Below are 20575 nucleotides of genomic sequence, written 5' to 3'. Positions count from 1 at the left end.
TATTTTTTTTAGACAGGGTCTCGCTCTGTCACCCAGGCTGGAGAGCAGTGGTGCAATCTCAGCTCACTGTAGCCTTGACCTCCCAGGCTCAAGTTATCCTCCCCATCTAAGCCTCCCCAGTAGCTGGGAACACAGGCGCCAGCGCCACACCCAGCTTTTTTTTTTTTTTTTTTTTTTTTAAGAGACGGGATTTCACCATGTTGGCAAGACTGGTCTTGAACTCCTGGGCTCAAGTGATCTGCCCACCTCGGCCTCCCAAAGTGCTGGGATTACAGGTGTGACCCACTGTGCTCGGCCTGGTTGCTTTTTTGTTTTTGTTTTTTGTGGGTTTTTTTACGATGGAGTCTGGCTATGTCGCCCAGGCTGGAGTGCAGTGGCCTGTTCTTGGCTCACTGCAACCTCTGCCTTCCGGGTTCAAGCGATTCTCCTGCCTCAGTCTCCCGAGTAGCTATGTCTACAGTTGCCCCAACCACGCCTGGCTGATTTTTGTATTTTTAATAGAGACGGAGTTTCACCACATTGGCCAGGCTGGTCTCGAACTTCTGGACTCAAGTGATCCACCCGCCTTAGGCCTCCTAAAGTGCTGGGATTACAGGCGTGAGCCACCACGCCTGACTTTTTTAAATTGAATCATTGACAGAAAAGCCACGAAGTGGCTCGGAAAGGGGAAGGGGTTTGTGCAGAGTCGCCCAGCTATAGCGTGTGCAGCCCAGATAGAACCTGGGTCTTTCGGCTCCACTGTATGTGCTCTCCCCAGCAGGGATTGGGAAGGGCCTTTTCTGGCTTTCCCTGCACACTCCCACCCCCACCCCCCTGCATCTTGCCCTCCTGTGCCACCCTCTGCACCCACCAGCAGATCTCTTGGCCCCCGTTGCTCTGAATCAGTTGTGCCATGCAGTTGGCTGAGCTTCCTCTTAAGAGTCAGAGAAGCAGCTTACCTGTTTTATTTTAAAAATTCCTTTTTTTATGGGTGTGTTTGCAACAGCCTGAGGCACACCATGTATTATCTTCTGATTAGTCCTAAGATTCTTCTGGGTGTGGCTGGCATATAGCCCTGGTATACCCGTGCCTACCATTTATTGTTTATTTGTGGGGTGAGGGCACTGTGCTAAGCATTCGGCATACTGCATTCACTTTAATTCTTTCTAACATATCCGATCTGTGAGGTATCTATGGACATCCTTGTTTTACACATGAGGAACAGAGAGTCAGTGACTTTGAGCTGACTTGGCCAAAGTCATGATATTAACAAAGGGCAGATCGATATTGGAACCCACTTCTGCTTGACTGATTTCCTCTGAAGCCCTTGCTTCCCTGGTACATTTCCTGGGATTACTTTCCTATGTGGCCCCATTTGCCAGGAACTCAGAAACTGGGCTGTGTGTGCATGAGGGCATACGTAGCAGCATGGGTGCATGCACATGCATGTGTGTGATACAGGGATGTTTAGACGGAAGGATCAAAAATATATTTCAGGCTGGGCAAGGTGGCTCACACCTACAATCCCAGCACTTTGGGAGGCCAAGGTGGGCAGATCACCCGAGGTCAGGAGTTCGAGACCAGCCTGGCCAACATGGTGAAACCCTAGCTCCACTAAAAATACAAAAATTAGCCAGGTGTGGTGGCACACATCTGTAATCTCAGCTACTCAGGAGGCTGAGGCAGGAGAATCACTTGAACCTGGGAGGTGGAGGTTGCAGTGAGCCAAGATCATGACACTACACTCCAGCCTGGGCAACAGAGCAAGACTCCATCTCAAAATATATGTGTGTGTGTGTGTGTGTGTGTGTGTGTGCATTTTTTTTTTCAGGCAAAAAGAAGGAAGCAAATAGGATCCCAAGGGTCACACAAGAACTGGCTGTGGAGTCCAAAGTTCTGATCCTGTGCTCAGCTTGGCATAGTCCTGGGTTCTGTACCCCATACCTCCAGATCAGATGTACAACCCTATAAGGGGAGTCACTGAGCGTAAATTCTCATCCATGTTCCAGGTACTCTGCAAAGTTCTGGGGCTGCAACAGGGAACCAAATAGGCAACTCCTGCCCTCATGGAACTTACAGTCTAAAGGGAGAACAGATGTCAAATACCCACACAAGTGTATACTTACAAACTGTGATAGTTACTATGATGGAAAAGTGCTATGAAAACATACAAGAAGAGACCTGACCTAGCCTGGAGTTGGGATAGACTTCCCAGAAGAGGCGATGATTGAGATCTGAAGGATGAATGAAGGTTAACAGGCAAACGAGGGAGCAGGCAGGGGGAGTAGCCTATGCTAAGTCCCTGCAGTGTGAGAGAACGAGATGAATCCAAGGGGCTGAAGAAAGGGCAGTGTGCCTGGATCTCAGGGTATGAGGGCGTGCTGAGGATGCTGAGGCCTAAGTGATGGGCAGGAGCCAAATGACACCTGGCCAGTCAAGCCTTTGAAGGGGTTTGACTTCATTCCTAGAGCAATGGAGAGCCAGACAAGGGTTTTAAACAGGAGGGTGACAAAATACAATGAAGTTTTGAAAATATCACTCAGGATGCTGTGTAGACAGTAAGTTAGCGGGGATTAAGCAGGCATAGTGAAGCACATTGAGAGACCATTGTCACCATTCATGAATTGGTGGCTTGGACTAGGGTGATGGTAGAAGAAAGAGCACACAAATCAGATTCAAGTTACATGTTGGAGGTAAAATTGACAGGACCCTGTGACAGATGGGATGTAGTGGATGAGGAAGGAGAAGGTGTCAGGATGGTGTCCTGTGGAGCTGACTGGCTGGGAGAGCCTTTCACTGAGGTTGGGGACACCAGACGACCAAATCTGGGAGATGGGATTATACATTTATTGTTTTATTTTAAAATTAATTTGCTTCTTTAGTTTTTGCTTATGTTTGAATAGGTAGTATTTGCACACAGTCCAAAATTCAAAATATGTATCTGTAAAAGCCTCCCTGTCTTGTCCTCCAGCCACCGAGTTCCTCCTCCTTACCCCCTGGAGCCAATAGGTGTTACCAAGTTCTGTATCTTTCCAGATAGTCATGGCTGTAGACTCAATTCTGTGTGCATTTAATTTATCTTTGAAGATGTTGATTTTGAAGTGCCTGTCAACTGGCAGGTGCAGAGGCAAAGCAGACAGTTGGATTAATAATTCTGATACTCAAAGGTGCAGTTGTGTTGGTGATGTGAATTTGGAAGTAACTGGACTCAGAGCTGCATGCATAGATGGGATTACCTAGGGAGAGAATAAAGAATAAAGGACAGGGCCTAGGATCAAGCTCAAGGAATTCTGTGATTTAATGGCAGATCAGAGTATCTTAGCCTATTTTTGGTTGCTATAACTAAATACCAAAGACTGCATACTTTATAAAGAAATTTCTTTTTAATTTTTTTAAATTTTTTTAGACACAGGGTTTTGTTCTTTTGCCCAGACTTCAGAGCAGTGATGCAGTCATAGCTCACTGAAGCCTGAAACTCTTGGACTCAAGTGATCTTCCCCCCTCAGTCTCCTGAGTAGCTGCAACTACAGGTGTACACCACCACACCTGGCTAATTTTTTTTTTTTAAAGAGACGTGTTCTTGTTTTTCTGCCCAGGCTGCTCTCGAACTCCTGGCCTCAAGCATTCCTCCTGCCTTAGCCTTCAAAAGTGCTGGGATTACAAGCATGAGCCCCTGCACCTGGCCATAAGAATTTACTTCTTACAGTTCTAGAGGATGGGAAGTCCAAGATTGAGGGCCACATCTGGTGAGGACCTTTTTGCTGGTGAGACCTCTCTATAGAGTCCTGAGTCAGCAGAGGGCATAGTGTGGTGAGGAGGCTCATTGAGAGCCAAACTGGCTTTTATAACAGACCCATTCTCATGATAACCCACTAATCTATTAACTCACTTATCTATTAATCCATGAATGGGTTCGTTCATTCATGAAGGCAAAGTCTTCATGACCCAATCACCTCTTAAAAGCCCCACCTCTTTATACTATTACACTAGGGATTAAATTTCTTATTTTATTTTTATTTTTAAATTTTTTTTTTTTTTTTTTTTTGAGACGGAGTCTCACTCTGTCGCCCAGGCTGGAGTGCAGTGGCACAATCTCAGCTCACTGCAACCTCTACCTCCTGGCTTCAAGCAATTCTCCTGCCTCAGCCTCCCAAGTAGCTGGGACTACAGGTGCACATCATCACATCCGGCTAATTTTTGTATTTTTTTGTAGACCCGGACTTTACATGTGCCATGTTGGCCAAGTTAGTCTCGAATTCCTGGCCTCAAACAATCCATCTGCCCCAACCTCCTGAAGTACTGGGATTACAGGCATGAGCCACCACACATGGCCAGGGGCTTAAGTTTCAACATGAGTTCTGCAGGGACAGACATTTAAACCACAGCAAAGAGGATGAGCCCTCAAAAGATACTGAGAAGCAGCAACCAGAGAGATGGGAAAAACAGCTGGTGAGTGTGGTGGGCCAGAGCTACCACCAAATCAGAAGGAAGTGTCAGCAGCATCCCAGGAAGAGGAGGGAGCCTGTATAGTAACTGTGGGAAAAGGAAGTGTCAATTTATGCAGTAAGATTGTCTGGCAGGATGGGGCCCTGTTGAGTTTGGTGATCTTGAGTCTATCCTAGAAACAGTGTGCTTTGTTGTGCTGAATAGTGTCTGCCAGGTGACATTCTCTTGCAGGGTTGGCTACTCATGTACAGGCAGAGAAAGAGTAGAACATTGTTAGTCCCAGGACTAGGGCCTTACCAGGTAGATATGATGAAAAGGCAGAAAGTACTGGTGTTGAAAAGATTGACAGGAGTCCTTGGATCCTGATGGGCAATGGAACTGAGGCTGGGTAGGGAGGGAAGTGAGGAAGATGGATTGGGAAAAGTAGAGGGAGTCAGAGTGGAAGGACTGATGAGGCCAAGGGGAGGAATTGAACAGTAAACAAGGAGAGAAGGTGTGGAGGCTGAGGATGACTAGAGGGAGGATGTGCCTGTAGATGAGATCACTGGATGGGCTGTCCACGGGTATGCTGGAGGGACACAGGATGATGCTGTAACTTGCAGTAAAGGGCGCCAACATGTTTAAAGAATGAAGAGAAAGGACTGGGGACAGAGAGCTCACGTTGTTGAGAGAGGAGAGTGTGGAACAATCTCAAAGGAACAAGTTTTGTTTTCTTGGCAAGAGGTTGGAGAAGTGATAGTTTATACCAACATTTTCCAGTAGAAATATAATGCAAGGCTCACATGCAAGCCACATATGTAATACTATTTTATTTTTGAGACAGGGTCTCACTGTGTCACCCAGACTGAAATGCAGCTCACTGCAACCTCTGCCTCCTGAGCTGAAGCTATCCTCCCACCCTCAGCCACTCAAGTAGCTGGGACCACAGGTGCATGCCACCATGCCCAGCTAATTTTTGTATTTTTTGCAGAGATGGGGTTTCGCCATGTTGTCTAGGCTGGTCTTGAACTCCTAGGCTCAGGCGATCCGCCTGCCTCAGCCTCCCAAAGTGCTGGGATTACAGGCATGAGCCACCATGCCCATCCATGTATGTAATTTTAAATGTTCTAGTGGCCATATTAAAAATATAAAAAGAAACAGGTAAAATTGACTTTGAATATATATTTGGTTTAACCTGATATATCCAGAAACATTATCATCTCAACATGTAATCAATGGAAAACAAGTTATTAATTAGATGTTTTATATTCTGTATAACATACTAAGTACTAAGTCTTCAAATTCTGGTGTGCATTTTATACTTAGAGTACATCTCAGTGTGGACTAGTCAGTTTCAAGTGCTCAACAGCTACATGTGGCTAGCAGCTACCATATTGAACAGCCCAGGTCTAGACTTCTGCTTTTTGTCATATCTGTCTCCCAAGTCTTTGCCAGCACTGAGCCATGTGCTATTCTGGGAAACATTAAAGAAATGTAAAACTCCACCTCTATACTCAAGTGCCTTACCTTATTAGGGGCATCTGTGGGACCATGAAAAGAGACTTGGGTTCCAGTCTCAGCTCTGAATTTTTACTTAGCAAAGACTTGGACACTTACGTCTCTGAGCCTTAGTTTTCTCATCTGTAAAGTAGTGATCAAATAAGCAAGTGCCCGGGAAGGGAAAAGCATAGTGCTTTAGTCCAAGTCTCCTGCCTGCCTTCATAGACTGAGGTAATGCTCATGGGGTTGTCCATTGTATATATGTGAAAAACATTTTCAAATGTGAAGAATCTAAGGCTCAGACTCAATCTTGGCATGCAGTATTTGTATTTTTACAGTCACAGTGTATTATTTTTTAAGTAATTCACAAACTTGCTAAAATATTACTATTGTTCAAAAAAGTATAGAGTGAAATGTAAAGTCTTCTCCCATTCCAGACACCCATTCTCCCCAAAGACAACCACAGCTTCTGGTTTTTAGAATAACTTAGAGATGTTCTATGCATTTATATGGATAACTGTATGTCTATCTGTGTATGTGTGACTGTGTGTGTATACACATATAATTACTTTATTTAAGTGGAATCATTCTCTATACACTGTTCTGCCCTCTACTTTTTTCATTATTTTTGAGATCATCTAATGTCAACACATATAGATTTGCCTCATTCTTTTGAACATTTTTGTAATATCCCAAAACATGAATACTGATATTTTATTTAACTGGTTCCTTACCAGTGAACACACAGGTGCATCTCCAGTCTTTTGCTGCTACAATTGACTGTACTGTGCTTTATGACAACAGTGACACATATATCTCTGCATCTATGTGCCCATCTTATCTGTAGGATAAATTATTAGAAGTGGAATTTCTGGGTCAAAAGGTATGTGCTATTTAAATATTTTTACAGATTGCATCATATGCCATCCAAGCAGGTTCCACCCATTTACAATCACCACACTAATGTTTGAGAGTAACTTCCATGCACTCCTGACAACATAATGTTATCAAACTTCTTCATCTTTGCCAGTCTGATAACGGCCCAGGTCAGTCAACTTTCCCAGCATTGGTTTCACTGGGCTGTGATAATATTGTATAATATAACATCTGATATCTAACAGGTGTTAACTGACAGAAATGGTGACTGTTGCCATTTTCGAGTGATTTTCCTGGTTTGGGTACAAATTCTGAAACCTGATGAAGGGGAACAGCCTGGTAGCCTCCACCTAAACCTGCATCTGTTTACGTTGTTTGGGTTTGGCTGACATCTGGGTGACTTCCCAAGGCCATTAAACAGAAAGATCATGGTGAGCCCTCTCCAAGATGAGCTGAGCTTTGGTTTCTGAGCAATCAGGCACTGAGAGGGGGAATTACCACCTGAGCTCACAGGAGGTATGGGTACCTGTGAACTGTGTGCCCAGGGCAGCTATCAGCACTGTTCTTCACCACTAAACAGGAAAGCTATTACTTGGAGGTGCTGTATTGACCTCATACACAAAGCTGTGTTTCCCAAATTACTGGCAGGCAGGTGTTTCAAGAATGGCATGAGTTGGGCAGCAACATGGATATTTTAGTTGTGGCTTAAAACTGTGCCGCCTGTAATCCTAGCACTTGGGGAGGTTGAGGTGGGAGGTTCGCTTGAGCCCAGGAGTTCGAGACCTGCCTGAACACCATGGTGAAACCCTGTCTCTAGTGCACACCTTTTGTCCCAGCTACTAAGGAGGCTGAGGTGGGAGGATTGCTTGAACTCAGGAGGTGGAGGCTGCTGTGAGCCATGATTGCGCCACTGTACTCTAGCCTGGGCAACAGAGCAAGACTGTGTCTCAAAACAAAAAACAAAAAACTACCAGGCGTGATGGCACACACCTGTAATCTCAGTACTTTGGGAGGCCGGGGTGGGCGGACTGCTTTGAGCTCAGGAGTTCAAGACCAGCTTGGGCAACATGGCAAAACCCCATCTCTACAAAAAAAATAAAAATAAAAAATAGCCGGGCCTGGCCAATACGCCTGTGGTCCCAGCTACTCAGGAGCTGAGGCTAGAGGATAGCTTAAGCCCAGGACGCAGAGGTTGCAGTGAGCCAAGATCCCACCCACTGCACTCCAGCCTCAGTAGTGAGACCTTATCTCAAAAAAAAAAAAAAAAGAACCAACCGAAAAACAAACCTGTGCTGTTTCTCCTGCTAGCTGTTTGACTCTCAGCAGACTTGGGGCTGGGAAAGGGGTCCCTCCAGCGCCTTCCCCAGCTAGATCCAGTGACCCTCAGCTCAGCGGAGATACTCCTTTCCTGCTCTCTCCTGGTTGGCAACAGTTTGACAGGCAGGGCACACATGTCACCATTTGTTCATTCATGCAAGTATATTTTCAGCATCTACAAAGTGTCAGGCCCTGTCTTGGGCACTGGGGGTTCTGAGATGAATAGGACAACAATTCTCTCTATAACGAACGATCTTGCGGTCTTGGGCAGACCTGCCCTACACATGCCCACTTCTTACTACCCCTTCTCTCAGAGGCTGGCACAGGGTGGCCAGGGGATGCAGGGCACCACTAGCTGTTCCCGGCTGTTTAGGCTCCAGCCTTAGGTTCTCCCAAAGAGCAAGCACCTGTTAGGGGCCCAGGGCAGTACATGTGATGTATGTAAATGGTAAGATTATGAATTCTGCCAGACCGTCCTTCCAGAAGCCCAGTTCAGATCATGTCATGGCCCTATTTGAACATCCTCGTGGGTCCTGTTCTGCCTCTGCCCTGCCCCCACCCTGCCCCACACTCTGTCAGCTTCCTTATCCCATGGCCACCCTGTACTTCTTAATCACCAAGTCCCAAATCTGAGGAGTCTTGGATCCCTCCTGCCTTCCTGGGTCGTCCTAGTTTTCTCTCAGCTGAGATTGGGCTTCCTCCCTTTCCCACACTTTTAAAATCTTGTTATTTATGCCCCACCTTAAATGAGTGCCTTTCCCTTCCTCACCTTCTGCAAACTTCCCTGGCTCATTACTAGGACAGTGAAAAGTACTCGGTTTTGAATCTCTGCTCAGCCACTTACCGTGACATTGGGCAAATTACCTAACCTCAGGGAACTGCAGGCCAGCACCCGATGAGCCTGTCCCCAGCTGTTGAGGGAGCTGTGGCAAGTGCAGTGCTGAGCTCAGGAACAAGAGTGAGGTCCCAACTGAAATGGGGTGCATGGGATGCTGACCCCTGGAGATGCATTAGGGAGCCAGAGTGTTAGGGAAGACTGGCTTTCCTTCTCCCTCAGCCTGTCAGGGCTGGCTGCCTCCACAACTCCCCTATTGAGCCCCTTTGAACACCTCGGAAATACACAGTGGTATATCTTGGAGTTTTCTCTCTGCTCTTCAATATTTCTTTTTTTCTTTTTTCTTGAGACTGAGTCTCACTCTGTTGCCCAGGCTGGAATGCAGTGGTGCTATCTCAGCTCACTGCCAACCTGTGCCTCCCAGGTTCAAGCGATTCTCGTGCCTCAGCCTCCCAAGTAGCTGGGATTACAGGCGCCAGCCACCACGCCTGGCTAATTTTTTGTATTTTCAGTAGAGACAGGGTTTCACCATGTTGGCCAGGCTGTTCTGAAACTCCTGACTTCAGGTGATCTGCCCACCTTGGCCTCCCAAAATGCTGGGATTACAGGCGTGAGCCACCACAAGTGATCAACTCTGTTGGTTTGCCCATGACGGTCCTGATTTTAGCCCTGAAACTGCCACATCCTGGGAAATCTCTCAGTCCTGGACAAACTGGGGCAGTTGGTCAGTCACCCTGAGGCAGGTGACAGAGACCTGATCAGAGAAGGGTAAGTGGTGGGGGCTGCGGCTCCTGGATGAACACAAAGTTCTGTGTCATTGCCCGGCCTGTTGCTGAGCCTTACATGTGTCATCGACCCTCATCCTCGCAGGAGAGCTGAGGCTCTCATAATTAAGGACTTTTCCAGATCTCCCAGCTAGGAGGTCTCAGGGTAGAGCCTGGGTGTGTCCTGCCCACATCAGGTGTCTCCACTACACCTCCCTGCCACTTGAAATGATCCTTTTGTAATATCACTCGTCACTCACCCACCCTACTGTAACAGTTTTCTGAATTAGGACTCCTGAATCTTAGGCTCTGAGACCTATATGCTAGCTGCTTAACTAAAGGCTTGATAAGGATGACAATGATGCTTAGTTTCTGGTTCTCAGCTGCATCTGACAATCACATTTGCTGAATAAGTTGTTTTCCAGATAAATGAGGTGAAAATGAGTAATTAAGATGTATCTCTATAACTCCTTAACTCTATAACTCCTTAAATGCAGAGACTATGTTGGCAAGATACCTGTCCTATCATTAGTTTATATTCTTGCCATCTCAACAGATGTAATTGTCATCTCAACAGTATTGACCTTTGTTGTGATTTCAAGAAATATATCCCCCTTCTGAATAATCGATTTTTAAAAAAACGAAAAGTACAACCTTTGTAATTTATTTGTAAGAAAAGGAGTAAGTAACCCTTCTGAGTGTTATATTCTAGCCCATTGCTCGGTAGGTGGTTTCAGCTTCCTAGTACTTTTACTATTTCCTCTTGACAGCTTTCTGATTAGTTACCAGAGGGTCTCACCATCTCCAGGAAGTCGGGAAGCCCTTTGGTTCAGGTTCCAGTGACTTCTGTCCTGCTAAAATCTTCTACTATGTGACTTGTTCTTTAAGAGGCATCCCCATCTGTCTTGGAAATGCCTAGAAATTTAGTTCCTCTCTGCTTTTCACAAATAATTCAAGTGAAGATGCAAAGGTAAACTTTTAAACTTTAAATTTTGCTGGCCAAGATTGCATAGTCTAATCAGGAGAACTTAAAAAGACTTTTTAAAGTACATTTTTAAAAATTATTAACTCAATAAATAACTGAAAAATTCAAAATTATATAAATGGCTTACATGGAAAATAAAGTTCTCCTGCCATTTGATCTCTGAGGGGCAATTCCTGTTAACAGTTTAACATATATTACTCCAACACTTTTCCATTTTTCCGTACATAATATGTATATATTAGCACATATTTGCACAAATATAAATGAGATCACATTAGGTATGCTGTTTTACATGTTTATTTTTTTAACTTAGTAACATCACAGACGTCTTTCCTTGCCCATACAAAGCTCATTCTTGTTAATGGCTGCCTGCTGTCCTTTTTTTTTTTTTTTAAGACTACTCAATAGCAGTAGTGAGAAGGGGAGAAAGAGCAGAATAAGGGGTTTCATCTGTAACTGACTGTGAACAATCAGTTGAGATAACTCACTACCTTCAGACCAGCCCATCCATTTTATAAGTGAAAGCTGATGTACTGAACCAACCTCCTTGAATAGAGCACTTGAGCCAGGCCTGAATATTGGCCCAGCTGCTAAGTTTCTCTGGACTCACTCTAGATTAATTTTAGCATGAGATGCAGACGTGGTTACTCATTAATTCAACTTTTTAAATAATCAACAAGCAGTTTGCTTTAAAACCATGAAACTGTTAATTTTTCATCTTTGTTATAGATTATTATTATTATGAGATGGAGTTTTGCTTTTGTTGCCAGGCTGGAGTGCAGTGGCACGATCTCGGCTCACTGCAACGTCCGCCTTCTGGGTTCAAGAGATTCTCCTGCCTCAGCCTCCTGAGTAGCTGGGATTACAGGCATGTGCCACCATGCCTGGCTAATTTTGTATTTTTAGTAGAGATGGGGTTTCTCCATGTTGGTCAGGCTGGTCTTGAACTCCCAAACTCAGGTGATCCACTCGCTTCGGCCTCCCAAAGTGCTGGGATTACAGGCATGAGCCACCGTGTCCGGCCTGTTATAGATTATTTATTCCTAATTATATGTGATAGATTGATGGAAGGAGAAACCGCTTTGTTCCTAACACCTAGTTAAATGCCCGGTTAGTCTGTCTAATTAAGAGGAGGTTTTTCTCAAGGCTTAACAAATTCAAGAAGATTTAAATTATATCAAATGTCTTTCCTGACCACAGTAATATGAAACTAGAAATCAACAGTAGGAGTAAAATTGGAAAATTCTCACATACATAGAAATTAAACAACAGACTCCTAAAGAACCAATGTATCAAAGAAAAGAAAAAAAATCTTGAAACAAATAAAAATGGAACTATAGCATACCATAATTTATAGGGTGCAGCAAAAGCAGTTTTAAGGGGAGAGTTTATAACTATAAATGCTTACATTAAGAAAAAAGATGTCGGGCTGGGCACGGTGGCTCATGCTTGTAATCCCAGCGCTTTGGGAGGCTGAGGCGGGCGGATCACGAGGTCAGGAGATCGAGACCATCCTGGCTAACACGGTGAAACCCCGTCTCTACTAAAAATACAAAAAAAATTAGCCAGGTGTTATGGTGGGCGCCTGTAGTCCCAGCTACTCGGGTGGCTGAGGCAGGAGAATGGCACGAACCCGGGAGGTGGAGCTTGTAGTGAGCTGAGATCGTGCCACTGCACTCCAGCCTGGGCAACAGAGCAAGACTCCATCTCAAAAAAAAAGAAAACAGATGTTGAATAATCAACCTAACTTTACACTTCAAGGAAGTATTAGAAAACTAATAGAAAAAGAAGAGCAGAAGAAAATAAATAATAAAGATCAGGTCAGAAAACTAAAGGTTTGTCAATTTTATTTATTTTTGAATTTTTATTTATTTTTAAATTTTTTAGAGACAGGATCTGGCTCTGTTGCCCAGGCTGGAGTGCAATGGCACGATCATAGCTCACTGCAGCCTGGAACTCCTGGGCTCAGGTGATCCGCCTGCTTCAGCCTTCCAAGTAGCTAGAACTACAGGTGTGCACCACCACACCTGGCTAGTTTTTTGCTTTCTGTAGAGATACAGTTTCACTAAATTATACCCAGGCTGGTCTTGAACTCCTGGCCTCAAATGATCCTCTCCCACACTGGCCTCTCGAAGTGCTGGGATTACAGACGTGAGCCACTGAGCCTGGCCTTTATTTCTTTTTTTTTTAAAATCAACTCTTAGTTTTGTACATCTTTTCTATTATTTTTCTAGTCTCTATTTCATTTATTTCTGACCTTGACCAGGTGGTCAAGGCTGCAGTGAGCCAAGATTGCACCACTGCACTCCAGCCTGGGTGATAAAGTGAGACTGTATCTCAATAACAACAACAAAAAAAGAAAAAAGAAAAGAAAAAGAAAAGGAAGAAAAAAAAAACCTGTCCCATTTACAATAAAATCAAAAATAATAAAATATTTAGGAATAAATTTACAAAGAAGGCGAGAAGTCTATATACTGAAAACTGTAAGACAGTGACAAAGGAAACTGAAGACACAAATAAATGGAAAGATACCCTATGTTCGTGGATGGGAAGAATTAATATCGTTAAAACGTCCATATTACCCAAAGCGATCTGCAGAGTCAATGCAATCTGTATCACAATTTCAATAGCATTCTTCAGAGAAATCAAAAAAGCAGGCCAGATGCAGTGGCTCACGCATGTAATCCTAGCACTTTGGAAGGCTGAGGCAGTTGGATAGCTTGAGCCCAGGAGTTTGAGACCAGCTTGTACAACATGGTGAAAACCTGTGTCTACAAAAAATACAAAAGTTACCTGGATGTGGTGGTGCACACCTATAGTCCCAGCTACTTGGGAGGCTGAGGTGGGAGGATCACCTTAACCCCAGGGAGGTCAAGGATGCAGGGAGCCATGATTGCACCACTGCACTCCAGCCTAGGTGGCAGAGGGAGACCCTGTCTCAAGAAAAAACCACATCAAATTCATATAGAAGCACAAAAGATCCTGAATAGCCAAAGCAATCTTGAGAAAGAAGAACAAAGCTGAAGGCATCATGCCTCCTGATTTCAAAGTAAATTACAAAGCTATAGTAAATTGAAATGGTATGGCACTGGCATAAAAACAGGTACATAGATCAATGAAACAAAATAGCCCAGAAACAAAGGCACTTATATATGGTCAACTAATATTTGACTAAAGTGCCAAGAATACACAATGAAGAAAGGAGTCTCTTCATAAAGGGTGTTGGCAAAACTGAATATTCACATGTAAAATAGTGAAATTGAACCCTTATCTTACATCATTCACAAAAATTAACTTGAAATGGATTAAACACTTAAATGTAAGACCTGAAACCATAAAACTCCTAGAAGGGAAAATAGGGGAAAAACTTCTTGACATTGGTCTTGGCAATAACTTTTTGGATGACACCCAAAACACAGGCAACAAAACCAAAAATGAGTAAGTGGGACAACATCAAACTAAAAACCTTCTGTACAGCAAAGGAAACAATCAATAAAATGGAAAGGCAATCTATAGAATTCAGGAAAATAATTGCAAACCTGGAAAGGGGTTAATATCCAAAATATACATGAAACTCATACAACTCAATAGCAAAAAACAAACAACAACAAAAAAGAAACACATGATTTAAAGATGGGCACAAGGACCTGAATAGTCCTTTCTCCAAAGAAAACAATACAAATGGCCAACAGGTACATAAATAGGTGCTGAACTAATCAGGGAAGTGCAAATCAAAACCACAATGAGATATCACCTAACTCCTGTTAGGCTGGCTATTATCAAAAAGACAAGGTGACAAATGTTGGTCAAGATATGGAGAAAGGGAACCCTTGCACAATGTCGGTGGGAATGTAAATTGATATAGCTATTATGAAAAAAGTATGGAGATTCCTCAAAAAAATTAAAAATAGAAGTAATAGCCGGGCATGGTGGCTCATGTCTGTAATCCCAGCACTTTGGGAGACCGAGGTGGGTGGATCACCTGATGTCGGGAGTTCGAGGCCAGCCTGACCAACATGGTGAAACCCCATCTCTACTAAAAAGACCAAAATTAGCCAGGCATGGTGGTGGGCACCTGTAATCCCAGCTACTCGGGAGGCTGAGACAGGAGAATCACTTGAACCTGGGAGGCAGAGGTTGCAGTGAGCCGAGATTGCGCCACTGCACTCCAGCCTGGGTGACAGAGTAAGACTCTGTCTCAAAAAAAAAAAGTGCCATACAAACCACCAATCCTACTGGGTATATATCGAAAACAATTGAAATCAGTGTATCAGAGATATCTGCATGCTCTTGTTCACTGCACCATATTCACAATAGCCAAGACATGGAAACTATCCAAGTGTCCATAGACAGATGAATACATAAATAAATATATATATGAATATTATTCAGCCATATGAAGAAGAAAATCCTGCCATTTGTGACAACATGGATTAACCTGAAAGACATTATGCTAAGCTGCTAAATGAAATAAGCTAGACATAGGAAGACAAATATTGTATGATCTCACTTATATGTGGAATCTAAAAAAATTGAACTCATAGAAATAGAGTAGAACTGTTGTTGCCAGAGGCTGGGGCCAGTGGGGAAGAAGGAGATGCAGATCAAAAGGTCCAAACTTTGAGTTATAAGATGAACAAATTCTGGGGACTGAATGTTCAGCGTGAGTGGTGATGGATATATTAATTAATTTAATCGTGATCATCATTACGCAACATAGAGATATATCATCAGGCTGTATACCTTGAATGTATACAATCTTTATTTGTCAATTAAATTTAAAAAAAATTTTTAAAGAAGTTTTTCTAGGCCGGACACAGTGGCTCACACTTGTAATCCCAACACTCTGGGAGGTTGAGGCCAGGAGTCCAAGACCAGTCCTAGCAACACAGAAAGACCTCATCTCTACCAAAAAAAAAAAGAAAAGGAAAAAGAGGTTTCTCTGGTCCAGAGAAAATACAAAAACCAGCAAGAACCAGTCAGCCAGTTTCCAGTTGTATCAGCATCTGAGAAACTTGGAGTTGTTATTTTTATTTATTTTTTAGTTTTGCAGTTTCTTGGGCCAAAGTAACCGAAATGCTCAAAGTGAAGTTCCATGAGGGTGTGAAAAGGGCTGGTAGTCTCCCAGGATATTAACCTGTTAGTAACCTTGACCACCATGGTTAACAGAATGTATATGAAATGCGCAGAAGTTATAATATAGATTCGTCACTAGTTCTAAATATAGTTCTCTAAATCTTACAGCAGTAATCACTAGTGCAACTGCTCATATTTGAGGTCAGAGAAATCAGGAAACATAGATACGTGATTGATAGATAGCCACAAAGTAGAGATACGAGCTGGGCATGGTGGCTCATGCCTGTAATCCCAACATTATGGGAGGCCGAGAAGGCAGATCAATTGAGGCCAGGAGTTCAAGACCAGCCTGGCCAACATGACAAAACCCCATTTCTACTAAAACTATTAATGCAAAAAAAATTTAGCCTGGCATGGTGGCACATGCCTGTAATCCCAGCTCAGATAGCTGAGACACAAGAATCACTGGAACCCAAGAGGCGGAGGTTGAGTGAGCCGAGATTGTGACTCAGCACTCCAGCCTGGGCGACAGAGCAAGACTGTCTCAAAAGCAAAACAAAACAGAAAACAAAGTAGAGATCCAGGATTGGAATCAGAGCTGTGCTGAAATCCCTCCTCTTCCGTTATGTGGGCATGTTGGTGTGCCTTTGTAAAAAAAAAAAGGAGATGGCTGGGTGCACTGGCTCATGCCTGTAATCCCAGCACTTTGGAGAGTCCGAGGCAGGCAGATGATGAGGTCGGGAGTTTGAGACCAGCCTGGCCAACATTGTGAAACCCTGTCTCTACTAAAAATACAAAAAGTTAGCCAGGTGTGGTGGCGGGCACCTGTAATCCCAGCTACTTGGGAGGCTGAGGCAGGAGAATCGCTTCAACCCAGGAGGTGGAGGTTGCAGTGAGCTGAGATCGAGCCATTGCACTCCAGCCTGGGCGACAGAGCGAGACCCCATCTCAAAAAATAAATAAAATAAAAGATAATAATTATAAAGTAGATAACATAGTAACTGGCACAGAAAGTCTTAAATATAGTTCTTTTCCCTATATGTATGTTAGCTTTCAGATGTACCTAATTTTTCAAACCACCCAAGCATCAACATTCCTATTAGGAAAAGGCTCATGTTCTTGTTGCTGTAAATATTTGGTCATTCACTTATTCATTTACTCAGCAAACATTTATTGACCAACCACTATGTGCCAGGCATTGTACTGGGTTCAGGGACCATAGGGATAAAGAAAACACGATTCCCACCCTCCAAGGTCTGGCCTGGAATTTGACCTCTGTTTTCTTCTTTATTTCAGTCGTCTTAAACTCTGCACTTTGTTCTGTGTTAAAGAATAACTATGTCACACACTGAGGGCTTGAGTGAGAAGGAGTGATCCAGAGAGTCATGAGAAGAGTCCTTGGGCATCAGAAGGGCTCCCCATATACTGGGAGAGAACCTCTGTAGTCCACCTTGCTACAAAGGTGTCAGATTTCATGTTGAAATAAAAGGGAGCATTCTAAATAGTCTTCAAAATGGAAAAAGGTTGCTCTGTGTGTAGAGAGCTCTATCTCCAGGGAGCCTTGTGTCTTGTTCAGCATTATCGCTTAAGCACCAGAACCTAGAACAGTTCCTGGCATATAATAGGCACACAATAAATATTTGTGTAATAGATCAACAAATTATATAAGTTCACTTCAGTATAAAGCCATATATATGTGCCCAACATCCAGCATATCATCCTGCAGGTCAGGGTGTGTCCCTATACATTCCTCAGGCCACCATCAATGCCACTGTCAAAGAAGACATCCTGCTCTCAGTTGAGTACTCCTGTCATGGAGTGCCCACCATCGAATGGACATATTCATCCAATTGGGGAACGCAGAAGATCGTGGAGTGGAAACCAGGGACTCAGGCCAACATCTCTCAAAGCCACAAGGACAGAGTCTGCACCTTTGACAACGGCTCCATCCAGCTCTTCAGCGTGGGAGTGAGGGATTCCGGCTACTATGTCATCACCGTGACGGAGCGCCTGGGGAGCAGCCAGTTTGGCACCATCGTGCTGCACGTCTCTGGTAAGACATCCCAGGGCCCCGGGCACCCCTCTGAACTGTGAATGTGTGGGAGGCCAATTTCACGATATTAAAAGAAATGTTGTCTTCCCCCTCCCCTCACCCTCACTCCATAGAGATCCTCTATGAAGACCTGCACTTTGTCGCTGTCATCCTTGCTTTTCTCGCTGCTGTGGCCGCAGTATTAATCAGCCTCATGTGGGTTTGTAATAAGTGTGCATATAAATTTCAGAGGAAGAGAAGACACAAACTCAAAGGTAACCCCCTGGGCCTTGTGATAATCCATGAGTGGTTTTGAGGCCAGAGGTGGCATGTGTTATCTTGTTCTCACGAAGAAAGCACTATGTGGCTTGATTTCCAACTCATTGACTTGTCTTTGCTTTACAGAAAGCACAACTGAGGAGATTGAGCTGGAAGATGTTGAGTGTTAGCCAAGGCTGGGCCTGACTGCATTCCTACCTCAAGAGGAAACCATTCTCCAACAAAAAGAGCAAGCACAGCTATTATACCCATTGTGTGTGGTCCTGTTGCAGCCCGCTCCTAACAGGACAGTGGGAGATTAACAACATTGACTGCATGGAGTTGAGGACTGTGGATGGGACAAAGCTAGTATTAGGACTCGCGCTAAGTTCAAGGAGAAGAGTGATTGAGGCTTTGAACCAGGAGCTTCGCTTGGCTGCAGCATCAGGGCCGTGCTGACACATAACCAATGGGTGAGTGCAGGCGTTGGCTGCTTGCTCACGACACTTGCTCTGGTGTGCAGGATGGCCTGTTGTCAGAGTCCCTGTATCAGAGGCCAGAGGATTTCCAGATGGATGTGCAGCCAGCATTAGAACATGCTTTCTGTGCTCCTGTCTGCTCTGCAACTGCTGTGCCAACCAGCCCCCCATCTGGTATCCCACAAGCAAGCACTGCTGTGGGAGCTATTGTGAGAAAACCTGAGGCTTTTAGACAATCTGCTGCCTCAGAGCAGAGGTGGAAAGAGACTGGGGGTGGGGGTTGGTGCTGTTGTGCTGCAGAGTTTTTCATTGGTGAGGCCCGGTGGCTGGGAGTTTTATGGGAGAGGAGCTCAATGGACTCCTGAGAGGCCAGCTTTGGATACAAGGAATAGAGAAAATTATCTTTCTCTTCCTCCCTCATTCCAACGTTAATTGGATTTTCCCTCCCATGGCTCAAACTTAGGCCATTGTAAGTAAAACAACAGCTCATCTCCATTATGGGCAGCACCTGGCCTCCTGACGAGCTGGATGCCACCTGTGTGAAAGCTGAGCTTGCATAGTGGGTGATGCAGCTGGAAAATCAGTCATCTCGGGCTTTGCATCTGTCCCCCTCAGTCACTAACACTTCACGTCTCAAGTCAGGCCCTTGCCCTCTCCTACCTGGGCTGAGGAACGCTTGGCCCTTGCCTACCTCACAGTCAGAGTATCAAGAGAAGCCCACAGTATGCACAGAGTTCTCTGAGCAACTTACGAAATGCATGAGGCTTCTTCAAGGATCTGGAAAGCTATACTGGAAAACGCTATTCTGAGTATTAGAAATTGATAAAATCCTCTGAGGTCTTGGGGCTCCAGGTGAGATTGGGGACTGGACCACAGCTGGCCTTGGCCATTATTCCCTCAGGTTGTTGGTCACCATGTTCACCTGTAAGTTTCTCCATCCCAACTTCCATTTGACAAGCTCTAAAAGCAGGCATGGATTTATTTTCCATTCTCTTATCTCTCCAATATTCATAGCTACAGACCAAAGGTACCATCCGATGATGATGTGTTCCTAGTCCTCAGTTGCAAATTCACCCATGCAAAGGTTAAGAAGTCTTAGAACATTCCTTTCTCTTCTTCCTCCTTTCAGGCCTCCAATGTCCATATCTTCTCTATTTCCTATGTGGCAGAGGAGTTGCTTGGATAAGTTACAGCCCTTTCCCTCAATATTGAATCCAGAGTTTTGGGAAGGGATCTCTCAGAATATTCAGACAGGAACTCTCAGTATCCAGAGCAGGACTCCCAAGGCACTGCTTGATTCAAAAGGCGACAGCAGTTGGTCTACACAACGGATGTGTAGCTCTAGCACCTGACAGGTAGAAGATACCCTCAAGGCGCCTCCTGTAGACACACGGGTAAACTCACACACTATGTCCTATCCCCACGCAGCAGTCGGAGGAACCAGGCTCTGGGCCAGGACAGTTTCCAGTGCTGTGAAGAAACGAGGTGAGCAGTATCCAAGGGGCTCAAGGATAATCTGCTGATTTCTTTCTTGTCTTTCACACAGAGAGGCCACCAGCAGGAAAGCAGTGGGAGTTGGGTAGCTGCTGGGGCCAGCATGTCCTCTTCCACACTACCTGCCTTTCAGAACTCTGCTCTTCCGCTTGTCCCGAAGTCAGGGCTGGCAATCTTCATAATCAAAGGGGAGTTGGAAAAGAACACCCACTAAGAGGCCTCCATGGCAGATGTCAATTAAATTGCCCCCCCGCCCAAATCTCATGACAGTTTATTCACATCAGTAGTGTGGGAAGTTACAATGTTTTTTTTAAAAAAAGCTTCTTTCCTTGGCTTTCCATTTCTTTGAAAAAAGGGTTTCTTTTGAATTTTTAAAGCTCTGCCATACTGAACATTCCTGTGGAAAGGTTTAAAATGCAGAGCCTGAGGTTTTTGCTTTTCAGAAAAATAAAAATCTTAGAGATTAGCTAGTGTAAATGTTAAGCTATAAATTATATTTCAAACTGTGAAAAAAAAAAGTTTTAAAGAATGAATGAAATAAAACCTGAAAATAAA

General features: G+C 44.3%; 1 protein-coding gene across 2 annotated transcripts in view; it reads left to right on the top strand.

The window, feature by feature from the left end:
* Positions 1–20575, top strand: part of VSTM5 (V-set and transmembrane domain containing 5) — a 32387-nt gene extending 11812 nt beyond the window's left edge. The window contains exons 2-5 of one of the 2 annotated variants that reach the window (XR_001747865.2): positions 17484–17810; positions 17924–18064; positions 18195–18520; positions 19955–20575. Coding sequence is in view for 1 of the 2 variants with exons in the window: in NM_001144871.2 (NP_001138343.1) it covers positions 17484–17810; positions 17924–18064; positions 18195–18238 (512 nt within the window). In the remaining variant the exon portion in view is untranslated. Of the gene's footprint in view, positions 1–17483; positions 17811–17923; positions 18065–18194 lie in introns of both variants that reach the window. The other variant, NM_001144871.2, reaches the window with a different exon arrangement.

Source organism: Homo sapiens, chromosome 11 (genome assembly GCF_000001405.40).
Source record: "Homo sapiens chromosome 11, GRCh38.p14 Primary Assembly".
NCBI classification, from domain to species: domain Eukaryota; kingdom Metazoa; phylum Chordata; class Mammalia; order Primates; family Hominidae; genus Homo; species Homo sapiens.
Note: the sequence above shows the minus strand (reverse complement) of the source record. Positions and strands in the feature narration are given on the sequence as shown.